Genomic DNA, 19,835 nt, shown 5'->3' with positions numbered 1-19,835 from the left:
TACCTACACTTAGTTACTAAAAGTCCTATCTCTATGATTTAAATATTACCAAAAAAAAAGTTTAACCAATTTGCAGCAAACCAAGGCATCTATTAATATCTCACAAATGCAGTTTTTAAAATAATGTTTAATGTTGCCTCCCTACCACAGAAACTGTGCTAAATAAATGGACAATAACTCTTTTTTCAGGGTTCTCTGTTTTACTCAGCCTTTTGTAGTGATTCCTCCAACTCTACAGTAAGTATAAGTCCCTTCCAAAGACAAGGAAGAATTTTACCTCTTTATTCTGATAAAAAGCATGAGTTTCAATGATATAATAGGAGAGTAGGAGCTTATATGATACAGAAAGAAACACAGGAAGAAAATAAAAATAAATAGCAAATAAGTTTCATCCTATTTCAAACCCTATCCCAAATAGAGGCCTAAAGAAGTATCTCCAACCCCCTCCATCACTACCACCAGAAAAAGGAGAAAGTTTTATGAAAATGCTTTGTAAGCTATAGGATAAAATTCAAAAATTACTATAGTCTCCCTTTCTAAGCAAATAAGAAATGCTTTAAAATGTAACTGAAAATCCTAAATTGAGCTACCACTCTGGTTTTCAAGGATTAACTGCCTAGTTAGATTATCTAACCCTTTACTTTTCTTCTTCCTCTAAGAAGCCTGCCTTATAAACAACCACCAGAGAGACGGGTAACGGAAACAGGTTAGTTAAAGGGAATGTGTCTTTAGCTTCTGAGTAGTCAGTCTACATTTGGGGAGCACAGAGAAAAGGTGGGCATAAAATAAGGGCTAATAGTTAAGGAAGGAGAGTCTGCACTTACTAAGTACAAGGATAAAGTAACAAAATAAACTTTTTCAGCTAAAAGAAGGAGCTAATTTACTCACATTATCTTTGGCCAAAGTAATAATCCCAGAGGAGTGTGATTTGTATATTTAGCACCAATGATGCTGCCATGGCTCAAAAACACAACTTACCTTTTTTTTTTTTTGAGACGGAGTCTCTGTCACCCAGGCTGGAGTGCAGAGGCATGATCTCGGCTCACTGCAAGCTCTGCCTCCCGCATTCACGCCGTTCTCCTGCCTAAGCCTCCCAAGTAGCTGGGACTACAGGTGCCTGCCACCACGCCTGGCTCATTTTTTGTATATATATTTTTTTTTAGTAGAGACGGGGTTTCACCGTGTTAGCTAGGATGGCTCGAGCCTCGATCTCCTGACCTCGTGATCTGCCCGCCTCGGCCTCCCAAAGTGCTGGGATTACAGGCGTGAGCCACTGCGCCCAGCCCAACTTATCTTTAAGAATCACTTTAGAACCACTTTACCAGTTACACAAGAAAACCAACTTCACAGTCACATCTCACATCTCACCAAAATACAGGGTGGCCACCACGTCTAGAAACACAGATAAATACAATAAAGGATTTATTGTTATTGAATTATAACACATGGCAAAATAATTATGTCTCTAGAATTTATGGTCACCTAGTAACATCAGCCCCCTTATTTTTCAAACTTAATAATGCCTTTTGTCTCCATTCTCAAAAGTACCAAAGACACTGTGTCACACACTCCAAAAATACTTGCCAAAAGAGAAGTCCCAAAAGTGTTTTTGCTATCATTACAATGTGTCCGCAGTAGGAAATAGTATTCATTATAGCACTTTTAAAACTGTGAGCCATTAATTTATAGTTGCAATACATGTGAGGGAAAATAAAAGTTTGGTTATTGGAGGACATTAGAAGAGTTAAGTAGAAGACAAGATGCAGGCGCTGATAGCCTGGCAGGCACAGGGCACACCACCAACCAAAACCATCAGCCCCTTCCACTGGAGTGGCTGGAAGCGTTCACGCTGAGCACATACGCTTAAGAATTCACAGTAAGTGAAATTCAAACTCTTTCCCTCTTACTGTTACATAATAATTTTTCAACACCCTAACAAGATTTTTCATGTCTTCCTAATCCCAATTAGGAATAATAGTAGCTTTATCACTATGAATACAAAAAAAAATTGAGAGCTGCTATCGATAAAACCCTGAGTGTTTTGGTGTATGGTGCAAGTTAATGATTCAGTGATGCTATGATCGTGTCAGGTTCATGACGAATTTTCAGAGAGCAGCCCAGAAAAGTCAATCAGCACTGCTGTCTATTTTTATGATGCTGGAGGCAGTACAATGGTAGAGCTCACTAGCACTGTGTGCCAGGCAGGACACGAGGATTTTACTCATACGGTTAGGAATTCCAGTCCCAGAGAAGGCCAAAAGCAAAGGTCTAATGTAGACAGTTAAGATAAAGCAGCTTAGCTTGAAGAGGAAGCTAAAAATGTTCTGCTTTGGAAACTGCCATATTTGTGACCTCATGGCAGACTGAGAAAACCAAAGAGCTCCAGAAATCACACAAGTAGTTAGTTCACTGGGGTTTTACAATGCCCTGTGGCTGCTCAGTTGTGAATCCCCTGAAAAAACAAGTTCATGAGGTTTAATAATAGGTGACAGATCACCTCAGTAGGTCGTTTTGCAAAAATATCCATGCCAAAGACCACAGAGGTACCTGTTGGACATGGTCAAGGGTGGTAAGTATTACACTAGTCTCCATCTGAATCATGTAAGCTACAAGCCTAAGACTACGAAAAGAAAATGGGGTATAGAAAAAGGACAAATCTCCAATCACAAATCTACCTTGATTCCAGCCACTAAAATTTCACATAAAGGTCCCTTTTCAGTCCAAGTTACCCCGTGCTGAAGGGTAGGACAGTTACACATCGTACCTAGTCTCAACCCCTAATGAAATCCCAGTTGGTAAAGTCATTCACATTCTAAAAGGGAACCAACTCCTCACACTGCAGAATGTTAGCACTGCACAATAATCCACAGTTAAGTAAACTCTGAAAGGAACCTTTTACTTTTTTTTTTTTGATACCCCTACTTGGGACATCAAAACACTGTAGCATTACTTCCTAAAAATAATAGAAATTATGTTGAATCACATGAAACAAATTTACTCTCACTCACGAATAAAAGTCAATCACTAACTTAGAATTAACCATTGAAATAGGAAAAATGACATAAAAATGGATTGAAAAGTCTATCTACAAATGTTAAGGTTAGCATTCATCTAGGATCCATTTCTTTTGTCCAGTTTTACATCAAAGTTTCATAAACTACTGAAAACTATACTTTGATGGAAAACATGCCTCCAATACTAGTTCTCCTGGTATAAATGGTCCCAGAATTTATGTCTTTGACATGTGGCCACGGATTTTCACACTGCCACCAAAGTATTCAGTTAATATACAAATTTCTACTAAACCAAGCCATAAACAAATCTTTAACTGAAAAGCTCTGTCTACTCGTTTATAATCTGTTACCTGGAAAAAAAGCAGAAGGTCTCTCTAGCCACCTAATCACCATATCAATGACACATGCCACAAGAGAGAAGCACTAGTTTATTTGATTGATCATGGTAGATAAACTCCAAATAACAGAGAAATTAACAAATGCTTGACATTTGCTCAACATCCATTATTCTGACACTGCTTTCAGAATTTCAAAGCCTGGGAGTATGCTTAATCAACATTCATATTCCCTCGTGAACTACAGGCACCATATTGCACCCCGCCTTCATACTGATGAAAACTGCATATTGGCCATTTCCAAAATGTTCTGGGACTCCACACAGGGCCCCTTTTCTCCCTTGTTCCTGCTCTGCAGTTTTCTTTTAAACACTTCCAAGACAAAAGCATCTGCCAGTTTTTCTCTCTAGGGATGTATGCAAAATGAACTTAACAGTTTTAAGGCAGGAGTAACCCTCACATCTAAATTCATTCATAGGACAGAAAAGGGCCTAAGAGGCCTCTCCAGGGACAAAACCCTGCTGAAATTCTCCCCACACACAACAGTGGGAGCTTTATAAAATCTAAGTCCAGACAATTTCCAATTCAAATGCCCAACATAGCATGACCTTTGTCAGATCTCTGAGCCCAAGATGCACCCATGATTTTTTATTCTAACCAGCACAGACATTAGACAGGGCACTATTGCTAAGCAGGAGGTTCAATATTTGCATGCTCTTCTATTGTGAAAATGTAACAGTGACAGCACTGTGTCAAATTCTTTTCCCTCTAGAACTTTAACTCCATAGGAGAGGCATGGCTGACAGATGACTCCCCAACATCTGTGTTATGTACACTGCACAGCTGAGGAGCCCTGGATCACTGTCAGAACATCGTGGAGCTGACCTGCACCTTTCTTATGCCTTCTTCTTATCCCTGCCCCAACCCACAAATATATAAATATCTATAATACAAATAGTGCAATTTTTAACAAAATATAAAGATGGCAAGACAGATTAACATAATTTAGTCATTAAGCTGTTCACGTAGCAGCTCAACATATGTTGTATAAATGTCCTATACCGAATAATTTATCAGATCTGACACAGTGCACATCATATTGTTTTATTTAATACACTTACTAAAATTTCATGGATCAAGCATCACTTCTTAAAGCACTGAGAAAGCACTAGAAAATATTTATTCACCTCCTGTGATTTATTTTGATTACCCTTACAGCTACATGATAAAGTGGAACTCACAAAATTACAAGGTTAAGGTTTACACAGCCATTGCTTCATATACTAAAATATAACAAATGGCTCCATGTCTGTGTTATATTTTACTTTCATTTAGTGTTAAGTAGAACAGTAGACTAAGCACTTAGCTGCCTACTGAATATTTTAATATTTTTAAATAGGACTTAAATATCTTGGCCCAGAGAGTGGGAGCTTAAGTAACAATTTCAGGAAAGAATAGTAAGTCCTTTGCAGGGTACTAGTTAGAACAGTACTGCTCCCCTCCCAAAAAAAAAAAAAAAGCAAGTATGCTTCAAAGTCGCTGTCTCCTCAAAAGAGATCATAAAAATAAGCACAGGCCCACATCAGAAAGTTAGCAAGAATTCACTGAATGCATAAAAGAACACTACAATGCTAGGCAATACAGCGTACAGCTGGAAGATCAAATTACAGCAAAGCACACAGCTCCCATCCAAAGGATCTCACAATTAATTCAAATAGAAAGCAAAAGAAAGAAATGTATACATTCCAAATGAACAGGTAAAAGTAACTACCATGGCCAAAGCAAAACAAACAAAAAAACAAACAAACAAACAAAAAAACTCACTAAAGCTAATATTCAAGAGACCAAAAAAAAAGATGGGGGATGGACAGATGAGGAAAGGAAGGGCAGAAAAGGAGAGGGTGGAAAAGGGAGGGACGGACAGAAGGAAGGAGAGAGGAAAATAGAAAGGGAGGAAGGGAGGGAAATAGATTAGACGTGGCACTTGAGATTCTTCACACTTCAGATTCTTTTTCATCACTTTTCTCCTAAAATGTTTTATCTGGGGGCAGGTCTCCAGGACAAGGAAAATGAAATGAAAAGGATGGTAAAAAGATCAGCAATGGGAGAGGAGCTGAGAGCCTCAAAAGGCAAGGTCAATAGGGCTTTTCAAAAAAAAACATGAATGCATGTTGGCCTGATCATGTCTGGGAGAACGATTAAAAACTTTATTGTATCAACTGCCTTAGGAAAGAATACTAAGCAAAAAACCTTTTGTTTCCAATGGACTATTTTGTTTAAAATGTAGTAAAAGTGAAATGAAGACAATAACTAATAACTAATAATAACTAAGTCAGGTCAGGTGTGGTGGCTCACACCTGTAATCCAGGCACTTTGGGAGGCGGAGGTGGGTGGATGGTTTGAGTACAGGAGTTCAAGAGCAGACTGGGCAACATAGCAAAACCCCGTCTCTACTAAAAATACAAAAAATTAGCCAGTTGTGGTGGCACACGCCTGTAGTCCCAACTACTTGGGAGCGTGAGGTGTAAGGATCACCTGAGCCCAGGAGGTCGAGGCTGCAGTGAGCTGACATTGCACCACTGCATTCCAGCCTGGGCAACAGAGTGAGACCCGGTCTCAAAAGAATAATCATAATAAGTTTTACGTCCATTTATGAGTGATAAAATAAATGAGAATTGTTCCCAAATATCTACAAAATAATAATCTTCTCACAAAAAACACTCTCAGGTTCCCAAAGAAGCTCCATATGTTTCAAGGTGTAGATACTACAATCCAGAAGCAAGGCATCAGCTTCTCAAAAACTTGACCTTACCATCAGATGACAGGAGAACTGACAGTCAATGAGATACTTCATGTGGAGCAAAGAAACCACAAAGCCATATAATATTGTATTGCAAGTCAGGCAGCAGAGTGACTTTAGATGAATAACAGGTTATTGTAAAAATACTGAAGGTTCTATCATACTGCACCGTCAGAAAGGAAAGATAAAGACGATGAAGTCAAATACAGTTCAATATAAAAAATAGTAAAGTTCCAATCTCCCAAAAGAAAAGAACGAAAAATAGGAAAATAATCTTGCTCAGTTTAATGCATGGTGATAATGGTACCTGGAAAATCCTAAGTACAGAATAATTTAACCCTTACAGCTTTATGTCTGAGCAAAAAACCACTTTAGCCATAATGCAGGGTTTATATGAAAGTGAGTGCCAGCATTAACAGATAGCTTTAAGAGTTGGGATGGTGGTAGAGAGGTTGTGTATCAAAAAATTCAGTAAGAGGTCACTGAGAGCATTGAGAAAAGAAAGAGTTTGAGCATTGCAAATTCTTGCTGGGACCCCTATCATCACCATCACTCTGGCATTTTATTTCCAAACAAGCAATGTATTTTACCTTTCTGAGATTATTTTCTGGTTACAAGCCAACCATTATGAACCTTTCAGTGAATCACCGAATAGGGCACTTAAAGGGATAAACAATTATAAAAATAACTCTGTCATAGGCACATACATTTTATTTTATTTAGTGATGTAATAAGCTTAGGGGCATATATCAGGTCCAAAATGGTCTTGGTCATTAATTTAAGCAATAAATCATAGGTCTTGCCAACAATGACGGCAAACAGATGCTAACAAGGAAAGGTATTATTTAATATTGCCACGTGTTATAAAAATGTAAGTGTGTTTAAGACATGTCTTAAATTTTTATAATAATATGCATTTAATACATTACTGTTTTGACACATGCAGGAATCAGATTTATAGGTCCCATTCTGTAGCTTCTTCTTCTGTGAACATGAGAGCATATTCTGGGTTTTTTTTGTTGTTGTTGTTTTTTGTTTTTTGTTTTTTTTAAAGAGGGGTTTATAGTGCATGTTTGCAACTACATCTAATTGGTTGTCTTGCTGTTTTGTAGTAAATAATGTCAGCATTGAAACTCATTTAAAAGAATGAATCTACACACTTTGCCTGAATTTGAAAATAGAACATTTAAAAATTATAATTTTTAAAGAAACATTACAGCATAAGAAATACATAAGAGCACTTTATATCAAGTTGGCAACTAATTTTTTTTACATTCATTTTGAACTGTTCTGCATACCAGGCAAAAATTACTACCTTAATTAATAAGTTTACAAGTAAAGTTCAATATTCAAAAATTTGGAAGTAACTAAGAAAAACTCCACTTTATATCTTCATGCAAAAATCCTAAGAATCAACAGTAGTATACCAAAACACAAAGTAATTTAAAATGGAGTCTTTCTATCCATAAATTTGGCAAATTATGCCAAACCATAATATTCCCCCTCTAATATTTCCTTTCAGAGCAGTAGGTTTATATTCCTTTGCCAGCAGGTCGAATCCTCCTAGGGAGAGGGCTTGTGAGAAAAGGGAATTAGGGGCTAAAAATTTAATCCAAAACTTCTTTAAAAAAAAAAAATGAGCTTTTTTTTTTCACATCAACAAGATACTGACTCTACTAAATATATTTTTTGTTAGCAATTATTTTGTTTGAGTTTCCTTTTCAATCAACTCTCCTAGCTGCCAGCATGGTCTTCCCTCTTTTTTGTGTAGGCAAGGAGTTCATTCTTTAGAATACTTGAGGAAGCAGTGCTCGGAGTATGGAAACTAAATTTTCTTCATTAAATCTACTGAAGCAGATATTAAAAATGCATTTAATATACTGGCAATGGTCGGTGGGCACCGCTGACTGTGACAGGCCAGTTACTGATGATATGCCGTCAGATGGCCTTCTCAGCAGGCGCCTGGGTCTCAGGCTGCTGAAGGACAGCAATATCTTCCCTTGTGTGTAAGCTCTATTCATCTCCCAAGTATTTACTAAATCACAGGCCTCTGCACACATAGCCCACGTTTTCAGCGTATGCTAACAAATGATGGATGGCCTCGTCAATTCGTTATGTCCTGAAAGCATGGTTTCCTGCCATTCCAATCATCAAACCTCAGTGCTTCAGAGCTGATCAGTCCCAGGGAATATATTTTGCAGGCTCGATTAAAAGAGTAGAAGTTCTTTCCATTAGACTCTCTGGCACTCTCCTCAACTATTTGTTGTTTCAACCAATTATTAGGGCAGACTATTCAATAGGTGTTCAGGTACTATAACATGAGCAGGTTTTTTCCTGATGTTCACTAAGGTGTAATTTCTTTTATGACAAATCAGTGGAGGTATTTGAAAATAAAATATTTGATAGAGAAATTCATGTTTTAAAACAATTTTCCTTCTAGGTACAGTGGGCAAAACCTTAAAAATACATTATATCATCATATTATTTTATATTATATTATATTATATTATATTATATTATATTATATTATATTATAATGTAAGTGTATTAGCCAATGCACTTCAAAGGAACTTCCAAGGCAATAGCCATTCTGTAAATCATCTAAGCCTTTCAAGACAATAATTCCCACACATTCTCTTAATTATAATCTAGATAAAGGCACAAACTGCTTAAAAATTCTCCTGACAGTTCCAAAGTTAGATGACAAAAGTTCAACTTGTCAAAGAAAAAAATCTTCTTAAAAGAACATTTATTTTCAGTTCCAAGGTTACATATGTCAGTTGTCTTTTCCATAAGCCATAAGAACATTTTTTTCTCTATAGCTTATCTATGGAACAGAAAATAAATAAAAGCACAGTCATACCTTTTACTCAGAAACAGTAAACTTCATAAAAACAGATGAACTTACCACAACTAAACAGAAAGCTGAGCTTTGAGGAAATGGGGTGGTATTAAAGAGCCAAACAACTTGCTATAAATAAGCTTCTTGAAATGCTAAAAAAAAAAAATTTTAAGTGCCGGACTCCCATTTAGCCAATAGCCACATAGGCACCAATACACCTCCAGTCAGTGTAAGCTCCACCACACTGTCCTGCCATTCACCTCAACCTTAACCTCAAGATTAAGCTCATTTTTATTGCGCACAAAGGTCATCTGTATTAGGTCAAAATTCAAAGTCCCTTGTCAGAAAAGGTTGATATATTCCAACCTTTCCTTCTCCATGCATCAAATTTTTCATGGTAAAGTCATATTCAGCAGACAGTATATTCAGCAATTTATTGTGCCATTGTAATACAGTGCAGAATACAATCGTCCAAAAAGCTATCACATGAATAAAATATTTTTCATGACTATGAACCAAATCTAGACTCCTTACACACCTCTAACAGAGGAAATACAACTAACCAAGTCTTGTTTCCATGCTTCAGAAGAGTTATATGGCAAATAATTGTCCCTAAAATATAATCTATAGCATAATTATGCTTTTGCTTCCATAGTCTTTGGGAATAGGCAACTTTTTTTCAAAGTGTCACTCAAATTTTTGAATGGTATTTTTTTTAATGCAAAAACATCTCACCTGTTTTAATACTTTTATTCAAATCTGGCCTAAGCAGTTTAACTGAAGTAGGTCTAAACCTGAAACCCTCTCTTTGATCTAGAACCTAGAGGAAGATAGGCTCTATGATACAATGAAAACTAAAGGAGAAAAATTACTGTCTTGCCCAATTCATTACTATTACAATTATGTGATTAGCAGAACTGCAAAAATAAGATAAATTAAAAGAAAACTTTGAAGGCACCATTCTAGAATACATCGTAATTAGTAAAACCAAAGTCTTAAGGAATAATCAATCCATTCTTTTTAAGAGTTTATGCAACTTCTTTGTGTTTACCACAAGGTCTTTTCACAATCAGTATGTTAGTATGATGAATGGTTTCAGATCATTTTAAAAACTCTCATTCAGCCAGGCGCGGTGGCTCAAGCCTGTAATCCCAGCACTTTGGGAGGCCGAGGCAGGCAGATCACAAGGTCAGGAGATCGAGACCATCCTGGCTAACACAGTGAAACCCTGTCTCTACCAAAAATACAAAAAAATTAGCCGGTCGTGGTGGCGGGCGCCTGTAGTCACAGCTACTCAGGAGGCTGAGGCAGGAGAATGCTGTGAACCCAGGAGGTGGAGTCTGCAGTGAGCCGAGATCACGCCACTGCACTCCAGCCTCAGTGAGAGCGAGACTCCATTTCAAAAAATAACAATAATAATAACAACAAAATAAAAACTTTCATTCTTCAAATTTGATTAATACCTATATTGAACACTAAATCAATGTTCACACTGACGTGATGATCTAGGGTATCCTATAAAATCTCCTTGCCCTGGAAGACTTACACCTGAACTTACATATTTACTGGAGTCAAGCTACTACCTGATAGAGAAACCCTGACTCTAAACCTGGTACTCACTCAAGTATCTTTCATAAATGCATAACCCCCTTCTTACTAAGTTGAGACAAAACAGTAAAACAGCTTCCAGATATGAGTGGTTGCATTTGAGAAAAGTAGACAAGAAAATACTTGGAAAGGGGTGGTTTTAGGCAAAATATTTTCAGTTCTAATATGCTGAGTCTAACTATCATAACCATAAATACCACTGCAACAAGCAACCATGATTAAGTAATGGTTCCAATAATATAACCGCAGTAGCAACCAGTGTAGTATCAGGAACCGTGCTAATCATTTTATATGTATTATCTTATTTCAAGTTCATAACAATTCCATTTTATAAATAAGGACTCTAAGGCACCAAAAACTGAAGAAACTTACCAATTAGGTATCTTCCCTCTGTTTTTATACTGGAATAACTACCAAATGAAAATGTAACATCTGAGCTTGAGTTTTTCTAGAAATAATTTCTGACATGATAAACCCTCGGGTGTACCACTAGAGCATTTCTAAATTCCAACAGAAAGGAAAGAATCACTGTAATGTCCCTAAACTTAGCTAATTAATCAATTTTAAAAAGGATTCACTTTTCTAAATGAGACATGTATATATGGCTTTAAAAAAAAAAATCAAGCAGCATTCTTTAGGCAAGTTCAATCAAATGTCCATTATGAATGTACCATAATACTTACAATATACTAGGTACTCCTCCTAAGGCCCAAGACTATAATTCCAGCTCCCATGCTAACTATAGTAAGGGAAACATAAGGAGAAAGCCCAACAACCCAACAATGACAAAAATCTTATAAGAATGAACGAGTTACACATGGTAGTAGTGTGAGTCTCTTTCAGAAAAAAGGCTACAAAAATCAGAACAAAGGGGGTGTAAAAACATCTATGAAAGACATCCCTTGGAGCCATAAGGTACAAAAGTCTCAGACTGGCGATAGAATGCAGTGGTGTGTGAGGCTTAACAACTGCCTTTGGTAGTGAGGGGTGGTAGGGCTGGAGAAGGGGCAAGCCCAGGTTGTACCATTTGCCAATTTCTGTGGTGTAAATACTCCTACTGTGGATGAATTTTAAGCTACCAATGTGAGGTCGCGGTTTGTAGAGTCTGGAAAAGATGCTCACCATCAGCTCTCACAAGCTGGAAAGAGCACCAGCATCCACTGGCTGTAGGCCAAATTCAGCCCACAGACTTGTTCTGTTTGGCCAGGAAAATGTTGGCCCACACAGTGCTTTAAAAATTCAAACAAATTGACAACATTTAAAACTCAGGATATTTTATTTTTTCTTAAAAAAAAAAATCAGATCTAGAGCTGCTTTCTAAAGAGTAGAAGGCCTGGCAGCACCAGGCCCACATTCCTGCATGGCACTGGATGGCTGGCATAAAGTGGCCACTGCCTTGTTGGTACACACAACTGTACTTTCACCTAGCTGCAAAACCAACCAGGTCAGCTTCATTCATTCACTTGTTGTTGATACTTGCCTGGCCCCTAGAGGGATGGGAGTCTGTTCTCTAATTTAAAAGCATGAATGGAGAGTTTTGCATCCAGATATGGAACTTTGGTCAAATCACTGGGTAGGACTCCTCCCTCTGCATCTGCAACATTAACAGATTTGACCAAATTATCTCTAACTGCAATCTCGATCCAACACCGGCTTGCTTTATAAGTCACTGAATCTGAATAATAAGAGAGGTATGCAGGTCCCTCCCAAGCAATGTTTTATGATCTATCTGCATGTAGAGAGTTCCAAGTGCACCCACCAACATGCAAATAAAAAACTGAACATGTTATAAACTTGAGGTTAAATGTATTTTTATCTTTATATATTTTAGTTGTCCTCAGAAAATGAGAATCTAGATAATTTTAACTTCATCCATTAGGAAACAGCTATTTGTTACATACAGGCTGTTACATACAGGCTGGAAGAGTCTATGGGCTTTTTAACGTTATACAAGGAACAGTCTGCCTCATATTCCCAGTCCATTTACCATCTTAGCTAAATGGGGCTCGAAGTGTAAGTTAATTTCAAATTTTATTAGCTTTCCCTACCAATATTATCAGCAAAAACAAATAGCAGTGTAATATACCTTAAGCAAAGGATGATATCAGCTTGAGAGAGCTGTAGACAGAAACAAATTTTTTTTAAAAAGTGCCAGTCTAACTTCATGTGTAATGTAGAAGACACATTCAAATGACTCTTCACCTCCCAGATCTCAACCACAAGAGAAGCCACTTACAAGAGCCCTATAGAACCACGTCATCAGCTACAGAATCACAGGAAGATAAGGTGTGCCACAGGCATGAATGTCCAACCACAAAATTTTCACCCTGCATCTCTATTCATCCTAAAACATTCCTAGATTAAACAAAGTTCTATCTGAGAATAATCATAAATATATATGACAAACACTGATTCATAAATGTGCTGAGTATAAATCTGGATCATTCATACTAGGCTGATCTGAGGATGCACAAGTCAGTTTGCTGGTAAGTGAGCTTAGCCAACACCGGCATCCCAAAGCTTAGTAGACCTTTCCCATCCTATATAGTGCTAACTGCAAACTTGGGGATTTTCAATAGTCTTAAGTGATAAACCTTGTAAATATCAATGGTCTGCTATGCCTCCTATTTCATGTAACAGAATAAACACAAGTTCAGAGTTTATATCTCATCCTTTTTTGTTCCTGGAACAAATGACAGGCCTTAACTAACAGTGACTGAAAATAATTAAAAATAAGTATATGTTGGGGGTGGGGAGCAATGATGATATACCAGGTATTTTAAATCTTAGTCTTGGATATGACGACTACTCCCAGGACAACCTCAGAAAAAGACTGGGCTTCGCACAGAATTGCCTCAATTAGCAGGGGCCGGTGTTTGGTCAGGGAAAGACCAAGTACTTACATATTTCATTGAACAGCTATATTAAGAGATATGAATCTACCTTACTTTTTTCCTCTACTCGAATTGCTTTGTTTCAAAATATTTATTTTCATAGTCTTGAAGTTATTGCTTTAAGTATAATAGCTTTAAACATTTTTTAGCAACTGAATCATAGTATTTCAAACACATAAAAGAAATAGGTCCTGAGAAAATTTAACATTTTACTTTGGATGAAAAATTGCAGAGCCCTTGTTATCTCAATGAGATCCCAGCTATTTATGAGGTCACAGTTTGAACACCACAGTAGGTTAAAAAAAGCAAACAAACTTTTACTTGCTGTCACGAAGCCAGAATGAATAGAAAAGATCACCCTTCAGCCAAGAGACGTAACTTGAAAGTGACAAGCCATGTCACTGTTCCTTGGCATGAAGGAAGCTCTGGCTTACGAAGAAGGACTACTGACTCTTCACTATATGTTTCATGAAAGGGTAGGGACGGGAAGAGAGGAAAGAAAAGGTGAAGCAGGTATTAGTTCCCCAAAGTGGCTAGAACAGGGTTGGATTTGTGATCAGCATGTACCATCTTTCATACGTGGGTCACAGATTGTTCTACTCTAGCTTCAAACCCATGGACCGACCAAACAATCCAGGATCTAGCTGTGTTCTGTTCCCCTAAGAAATGGAGAACTGTTGGCCGGGAGCGGTGGCTCACGCCTGTAATCCCAGCACTTTGGGAGGCCGAGGCGGGCAGATCACGAGGTCAGGAGATCGAGACCATCCTGGCTAACACGGTGAAACCCCGTCTCTACTAAAAATACAAAAATTAGCCGGGCGTGGTGGCGGGCGCCTGTAGTCCCAGCTACTCGGGAGGCTGAGGCAGGAGAATGGCGTGAACCCAGGAGGCGGAGCTTGCAGTGAGCCGAGATGGCGCCACTGCACTCCAGCCTGGGAAGCAGAGCAAGACTCCGTCTCAAAAAAAAAAAAGAAAAAAGAAATGGAGAACTGTCATTCAGTTAGGAGTTTCACCCTAGCAGCTTAAATGTATTCACTGTATATACAGCTCACTGTTTAAGCAACTTGACAGCAGAATGGAGAAAGGAGAAACATCTTCAAGTATACATTTGAAAACATCTCCCTTCAATAAAAAGACAATTAAAAATAAAGAAGCATTTACTCTTTACCTATCTTCTATATGATCTTTATACCAGAGCATGACTTCATATATTAAGGTCACTTTTCAGATTTAATCTAGTAAAGCATATATTGATTGTTTTGTTTCTAAGGAAAATTCAACCAATACGGCAAAACTGTACAAAATGTGTAATAAAAACAATGGCAAATTCAGTCGACTTTGTCAAAAGTTAAATAATAAAATATTATTAAACTATACTTCTATTGAACCTTTTTTTCCCCTAGAGAAATATATAATTTCTCCTTATTGCACAAGCAATCATTCTGGTAAGGGTTATTACTTAGTAAACTAAAGTTTGATGCCTGAATATAGATTTTTTAAATAAAGCCAATATTCTAATTACATGAAAATTCCCCCCAAATTAATAAGAAATATAATTATAGCATGTGGATTCTTCTTAGAATAACATTATCTGAGGCTTTCTTCAAATACTCCTCTGCGAAGAATTCAAGCTCATATCCCTTTCGCAGCTACACAATGCAAAGATGCACAAATATCTAATAAAAGCTAAACACTTCTTTTAGAAAGTGAAGGGGCCATACACTAACATAATAACCTTTCAGAAGAGTCTTTAAAGCTAAGCTACAATGTAGCAACAAAGTAAAAAAATAATAATAATAATACAGAAAAAAATGTAAAAGATCACTAAAGAAAACACATGAAATAATCATACTCTTTTCTTAGACATTCCTACCTAGTCCAATGATTAATACAGAAATAACCCTAGATATCCTTCCTGGGTGTATGAATATTAATTTTAAAGATCATGTAAATTAATTCTATTTCTATGGCAAAACCATCAGTAGAATTTCCAGTTCAATAAAAGCCTTTCTCTCTCTTTCTAAGCTATTCTCACTTATTATTCTGGAACTCAGGTCCACCACAAAATTATCAGAAGTGTAGAAAATTGACCACAAACTGAGAATCAACTTTCATTTCAATTGAGAAAAACAAGGCCAATAGGAATAGTATTTCAATTAAGTATACCAAGCCCTACGGTATTAATTATGCATTGCAATGCTCCCTCAATTCTTAAAAATCAGTGAATTTAGGTTTAAAAGGTTTTTTTAAATGCCATTATATATCACTGTGAAATACTTAAAGAAGTTTCTGTTAACGATACAATATTCAACTGATAATCAAATCTTACATGTTCAGCCATACAACCAACTGTTCCATATAAACATTTTCATTTTCTGTAAATCTACTGCACTTTGTTTCAAAGCAAAATTGTGTTTTATGTTTCAAAAGGTTACTGCTCAGACATTTCTTCTACTGTAGATCAGCTACTACCTTCTAACAAAAATCATATTTACTTTTCATTAAAAACTTACGGAGAGCTCTACACTGCGCTGTTTTACATGCCTTATCTCACTTCACCGTCACCACAGCCTTAAGGAACTGATCAAGAAGAGACAACAGAGCGAGAAAGAGATTCTGGAGCCTGACTTTACTTGGGTTTGATATCCTGCTTCCTCTACTTCCTAGCCGTCGGACTTCACCTCTCCTTTTACAGATGAGACAACTGTGACTCAGATAAAAAGAGATAGAGCTTTTTATTTCTATCATTTCTCAGGAAGAAACTGTGATAGGAGGCAAGAAGAATGGAATACGAGACTCCCTCTGGAAAGAGCAGGCATCTTAAATGCATCATTTATTGGGGGTGGGAGGGATTGTTCAAAAAAGACAACCATAACCAATGGCAGCACCAAGTAAACCAAGCCACCTCAAATAAGCATAAGAGCCAAGTAAAACTGCTGTGCTTGTCCCAAGCAAGTTTTTTAGCTACTCCACTCCTTACCAGATTGGACTCCTAAGTTCACCACCAAGAACCACTAAGTTCAACACTGTACACAGCACAATACACAATATGGCCAGCTTCAACTCATTTTCTGGTAAAGAGAGGTGAGATTTCAAGAAGATGACTAAGTACATTGGTTTAAGCACAGGATGACCACTCAAACAAGTTTTTACCTATTACTTTTGAGATCTTACTAGGAACAGCAATTTAAAGCACCTCATATGAGTGAATGGTTGCCTATGTCATAATCCAAGAGTAGGAAGACAGTAGGAGATATGGGCCAAGATAGAAAAAAAGAAAAAAAACATGCTTCAAAATGTGGAAAACACCATTAGAAAAACCTAAGCCAGGATCTCTAAGGGCAAAGATATATCAAAATGATACAGATATCTATTTGCTTAGCGATTTATGGTATCACGAGTTTGAGTCATTAGTACAGCGACTAAATAACCAATATATGGTAAGGGAACTCAAGGAAAAATTAAACTTGTGCCAGAGGGCTTGGTCTACTAGCAAAATAATTCCCAACAAGGTATATTCTACTTATTTGAATCCTAAGAATGCTACTTAACCATATCTGAACTAACTATTCAACGAATCCTTTGGCTTCTAACATTCTATGATTCTAATACTTCATAGCTATTGGATGTGTCTTACACTAGTTTCCTCAGACTACAAGCTATCCAAAATTAGTTACTACATTATCCTATTTTGTTTTGTTTTATTTTGTTTTTAGAAATATGTTGCCCATGCTGGAGTACAGCTATGTTGCCCATGCTGGAGTACAGTGGCTATTCACAGGCACAATTATAATGCACTGTAACTTCAAAACCCTGAGCTGAAGTGATCCTCACATCTCAGCCTCCTGAATAACTAGGACTACAGGTGCCCAGCTATTTTGTTGTTATTGTTGTTGCTGTTTGTTGTTGTTGTTTTAATACCCAAATAGTGCCACAAACATAGTGAGCACACTATTATAGACCACATGCTAATTAAGTGGTGAAAAACTCTACAAATACCAATGAAAATCGTGGGCTAATTGTAGGGTAGTTCGTTTCACATAAAATGGTGGCAGTGGATGACACTGGTTAAATGAATATTCTGGTGAGAGAAATAGAGAATCACTATTAAGCAAATACCAGTAATAACTGCTTCATGAAAAAGTCAATGGATGCTAAAATCAATGGGAAAAAGGGTGACGAGAAACAAGAAATTTGCATAGTCTCAAAGTATATCCCCACAAGGTATTTATTAAAAGGAACAATAGTAACTTTATAGTGCAGTTGTAATAGTTAAAAAAAAAAAAAAAACTCAAAGGTAAACCCACACCAAGCAAACTGTGGAGTGTCTCAAAATGAAGAATTAGGGAAGAGGTACTCGAAGGTTCTAGGAGCCGGAACTAGTCATGAGGTGGTCCTGCTAGATGTTGGTCAGACTTTGTCAACTAGGCAGTTTCTGGAACAGAGTTTATGAGTATGGGTTGAGCACATAAGGCTGAATGAGCTCATGATAAAAGAGTTCAGGTTTAGTCAGTAATTGTAGTTTGGTCAGGTAGAGCCTGTTTTGTGAGTCACAGTACAGGTTAGCAAGTTATGGTTATATTTCCACTCTCAAGTAATACATATGTAAGACTCTATAGTAAAACATACTAGTTCTACTGTACACTTCCAATTTTTCTTCTTGTCCTTATGAAGCAATGCCATTGTCATATATCACAAAATTATTTTCCTATTATAAAACACCTTTAGTTTTATTTGTTGATTATAAAGCTATTAAAGAGCTTCAGAATTTAAAAATAATAATAATAATAAAAGTAACATTAGAACTACCAGCTCCTGAGCACAAACCAAGGCAGACACCACCTTAATCAAGTGAATAAGGTTAACGTCTCCAATAATAAGACATATGAAGTCACAGACCCTGATGTAATGCACTAAGTAGGCCACACCATCACTTCCAGGGTACTCTTGCCAAAAGTGTTTACCCTCAATCTAACCATGAGAAAATAAACATCAAACACAAAGGAAAGGACATTCTATAAAATTGACCAGTACTCTTCAAAAGTGTCAAAATCATAAAAGACAAAGAAATAGTAAGAAACTGTCACAGATTGGAAATGACTTAAGACATTACAATTAAATCCAACGTGTGATCCTAGAAAAGGGACATCAGTGAAAAAACTAGCAAAGTTCAAAAAATGTGTCTGTAGATTAATGATATTGCATTAAAATTAACTTACTGATTTTGACAATCGTACCATGGTAATGTTAACATTAAGAGAAGCTGGGTGAAGGGTATATGAGAATTCTCTGTAATATTTCTGCAACTTTTCTGCAAGCTTAAAATTATCCCAAAAACTCTCCCAAAAGTAACAAATAATCAAATATATATGTAGTGTTTGGGCAGGAAATTATAATGTAAAATATAACCTTATAAGTAACAGCTGATTGGACCAGGGGCTTCTAAGAATGTCCACAAGAAAGATTAAAAAATGTCAATCAATAAATATGTCCTCAGCAAGTACTTCAAATGTAGTATGTCCTATGTTTCAGGTGCCAAAGGGCCCATTACAGAAAGTCTTCAAATAACGTTATTTTGTTCAACATTATTTTGTTATAAAGTTGATGAGTATTTTTAAAAATTGTTTCCTGGCTGGGGCCACTGTCTGTGTGGAGTTTGCATGTTCTCCTGACGTCTGCGTGAACTTTCTCCCAGTACTCTGGTTTCCTTCCACATCTCAATGATGTACGTGTCTGCAGAACTGGCATGTCTAAATAGCCCCAGTGTGAGTGAGTATGGGAGTGTGTGTGAGCGTGTCCCGTGCTGGGATGGCTTCATACCTTGCAGCCTGAGCTGCCAGAGGCCACTCAGAATCCTAAACTGGAATAAGCGGGTTGGTAAATAAATGAATGAATAAGTGAATAAATGAATGAATACAAATTACTGTAAAATAAAAATTCATAAATCTATGATAATCATACAAACGCATGACAATAAAGATGCAGTACACAAGTGCTCAGCAAGCTCACCACATTTGTTATTGTTTGCTTTTTGTTTTTTGTTTTTAGAGACAGAGTCTAACTGTTGTGGCTCAGGCTGGACTGCAGTGGCACGTTCCTAACTCACTGCAGCCTCAAACTCCCAGGCTTAAGCAATCTTCTCACCTTAGCATCCTGAGTTGCTGGAACTACAAGCATGTACCACCACACCTGGCTAATTTTTAAATTTTTTTGAAGAGACAGGGTCTCGCTCTGTTGAACAGGCTATTGTTTGCTTTTGAATACATGGTGGTAAGAGGTGCTTCTCACAAATTTCACTTTGCAAACACATACTCTTAGATTTAATCCACCACCACTATGACC

General features: G+C 37.1%; 1 protein-coding gene across 19 annotated transcripts in view; it reads right to left on the bottom strand.

Annotated features, from left to right (window-relative positions):
- CDIN1 (CDAN1 interacting nuclease 1) overlaps window positions 1-19,835 on the bottom strand; it is a 230,619-nt gene that overhangs the window by 206,269 nt on the left and 4,515 nt on the right. For 2 of the 19 annotated variants that reach the window (NM_032499.6, NM_001290232.2), the window contains exon 1: window positions 9,058-9,099. The exons of the other annotated variants lie outside the window; for them this stretch is intronic. The gene's annotated coding sequence lies outside the window, so the exon portion shown is untranslated. Of the gene's footprint in view, window positions 1-9,057; window positions 9,100-19,835 lie in introns of those variants that run through there. 19 annotated transcript variants of the gene reach the window in all.

The sequence above is a fragment of the Homo sapiens genome, chromosome 15, assembly GCF_000001405.40.
Source record: "Homo sapiens chromosome 15, GRCh38.p14 Primary Assembly".
Taxonomy (NCBI): domain Eukaryota; kingdom Metazoa; phylum Chordata; class Mammalia; order Primates; family Hominidae; genus Homo; species Homo sapiens.
This window is presented reverse-complemented; position numbering and strand designations above follow the sequence as displayed.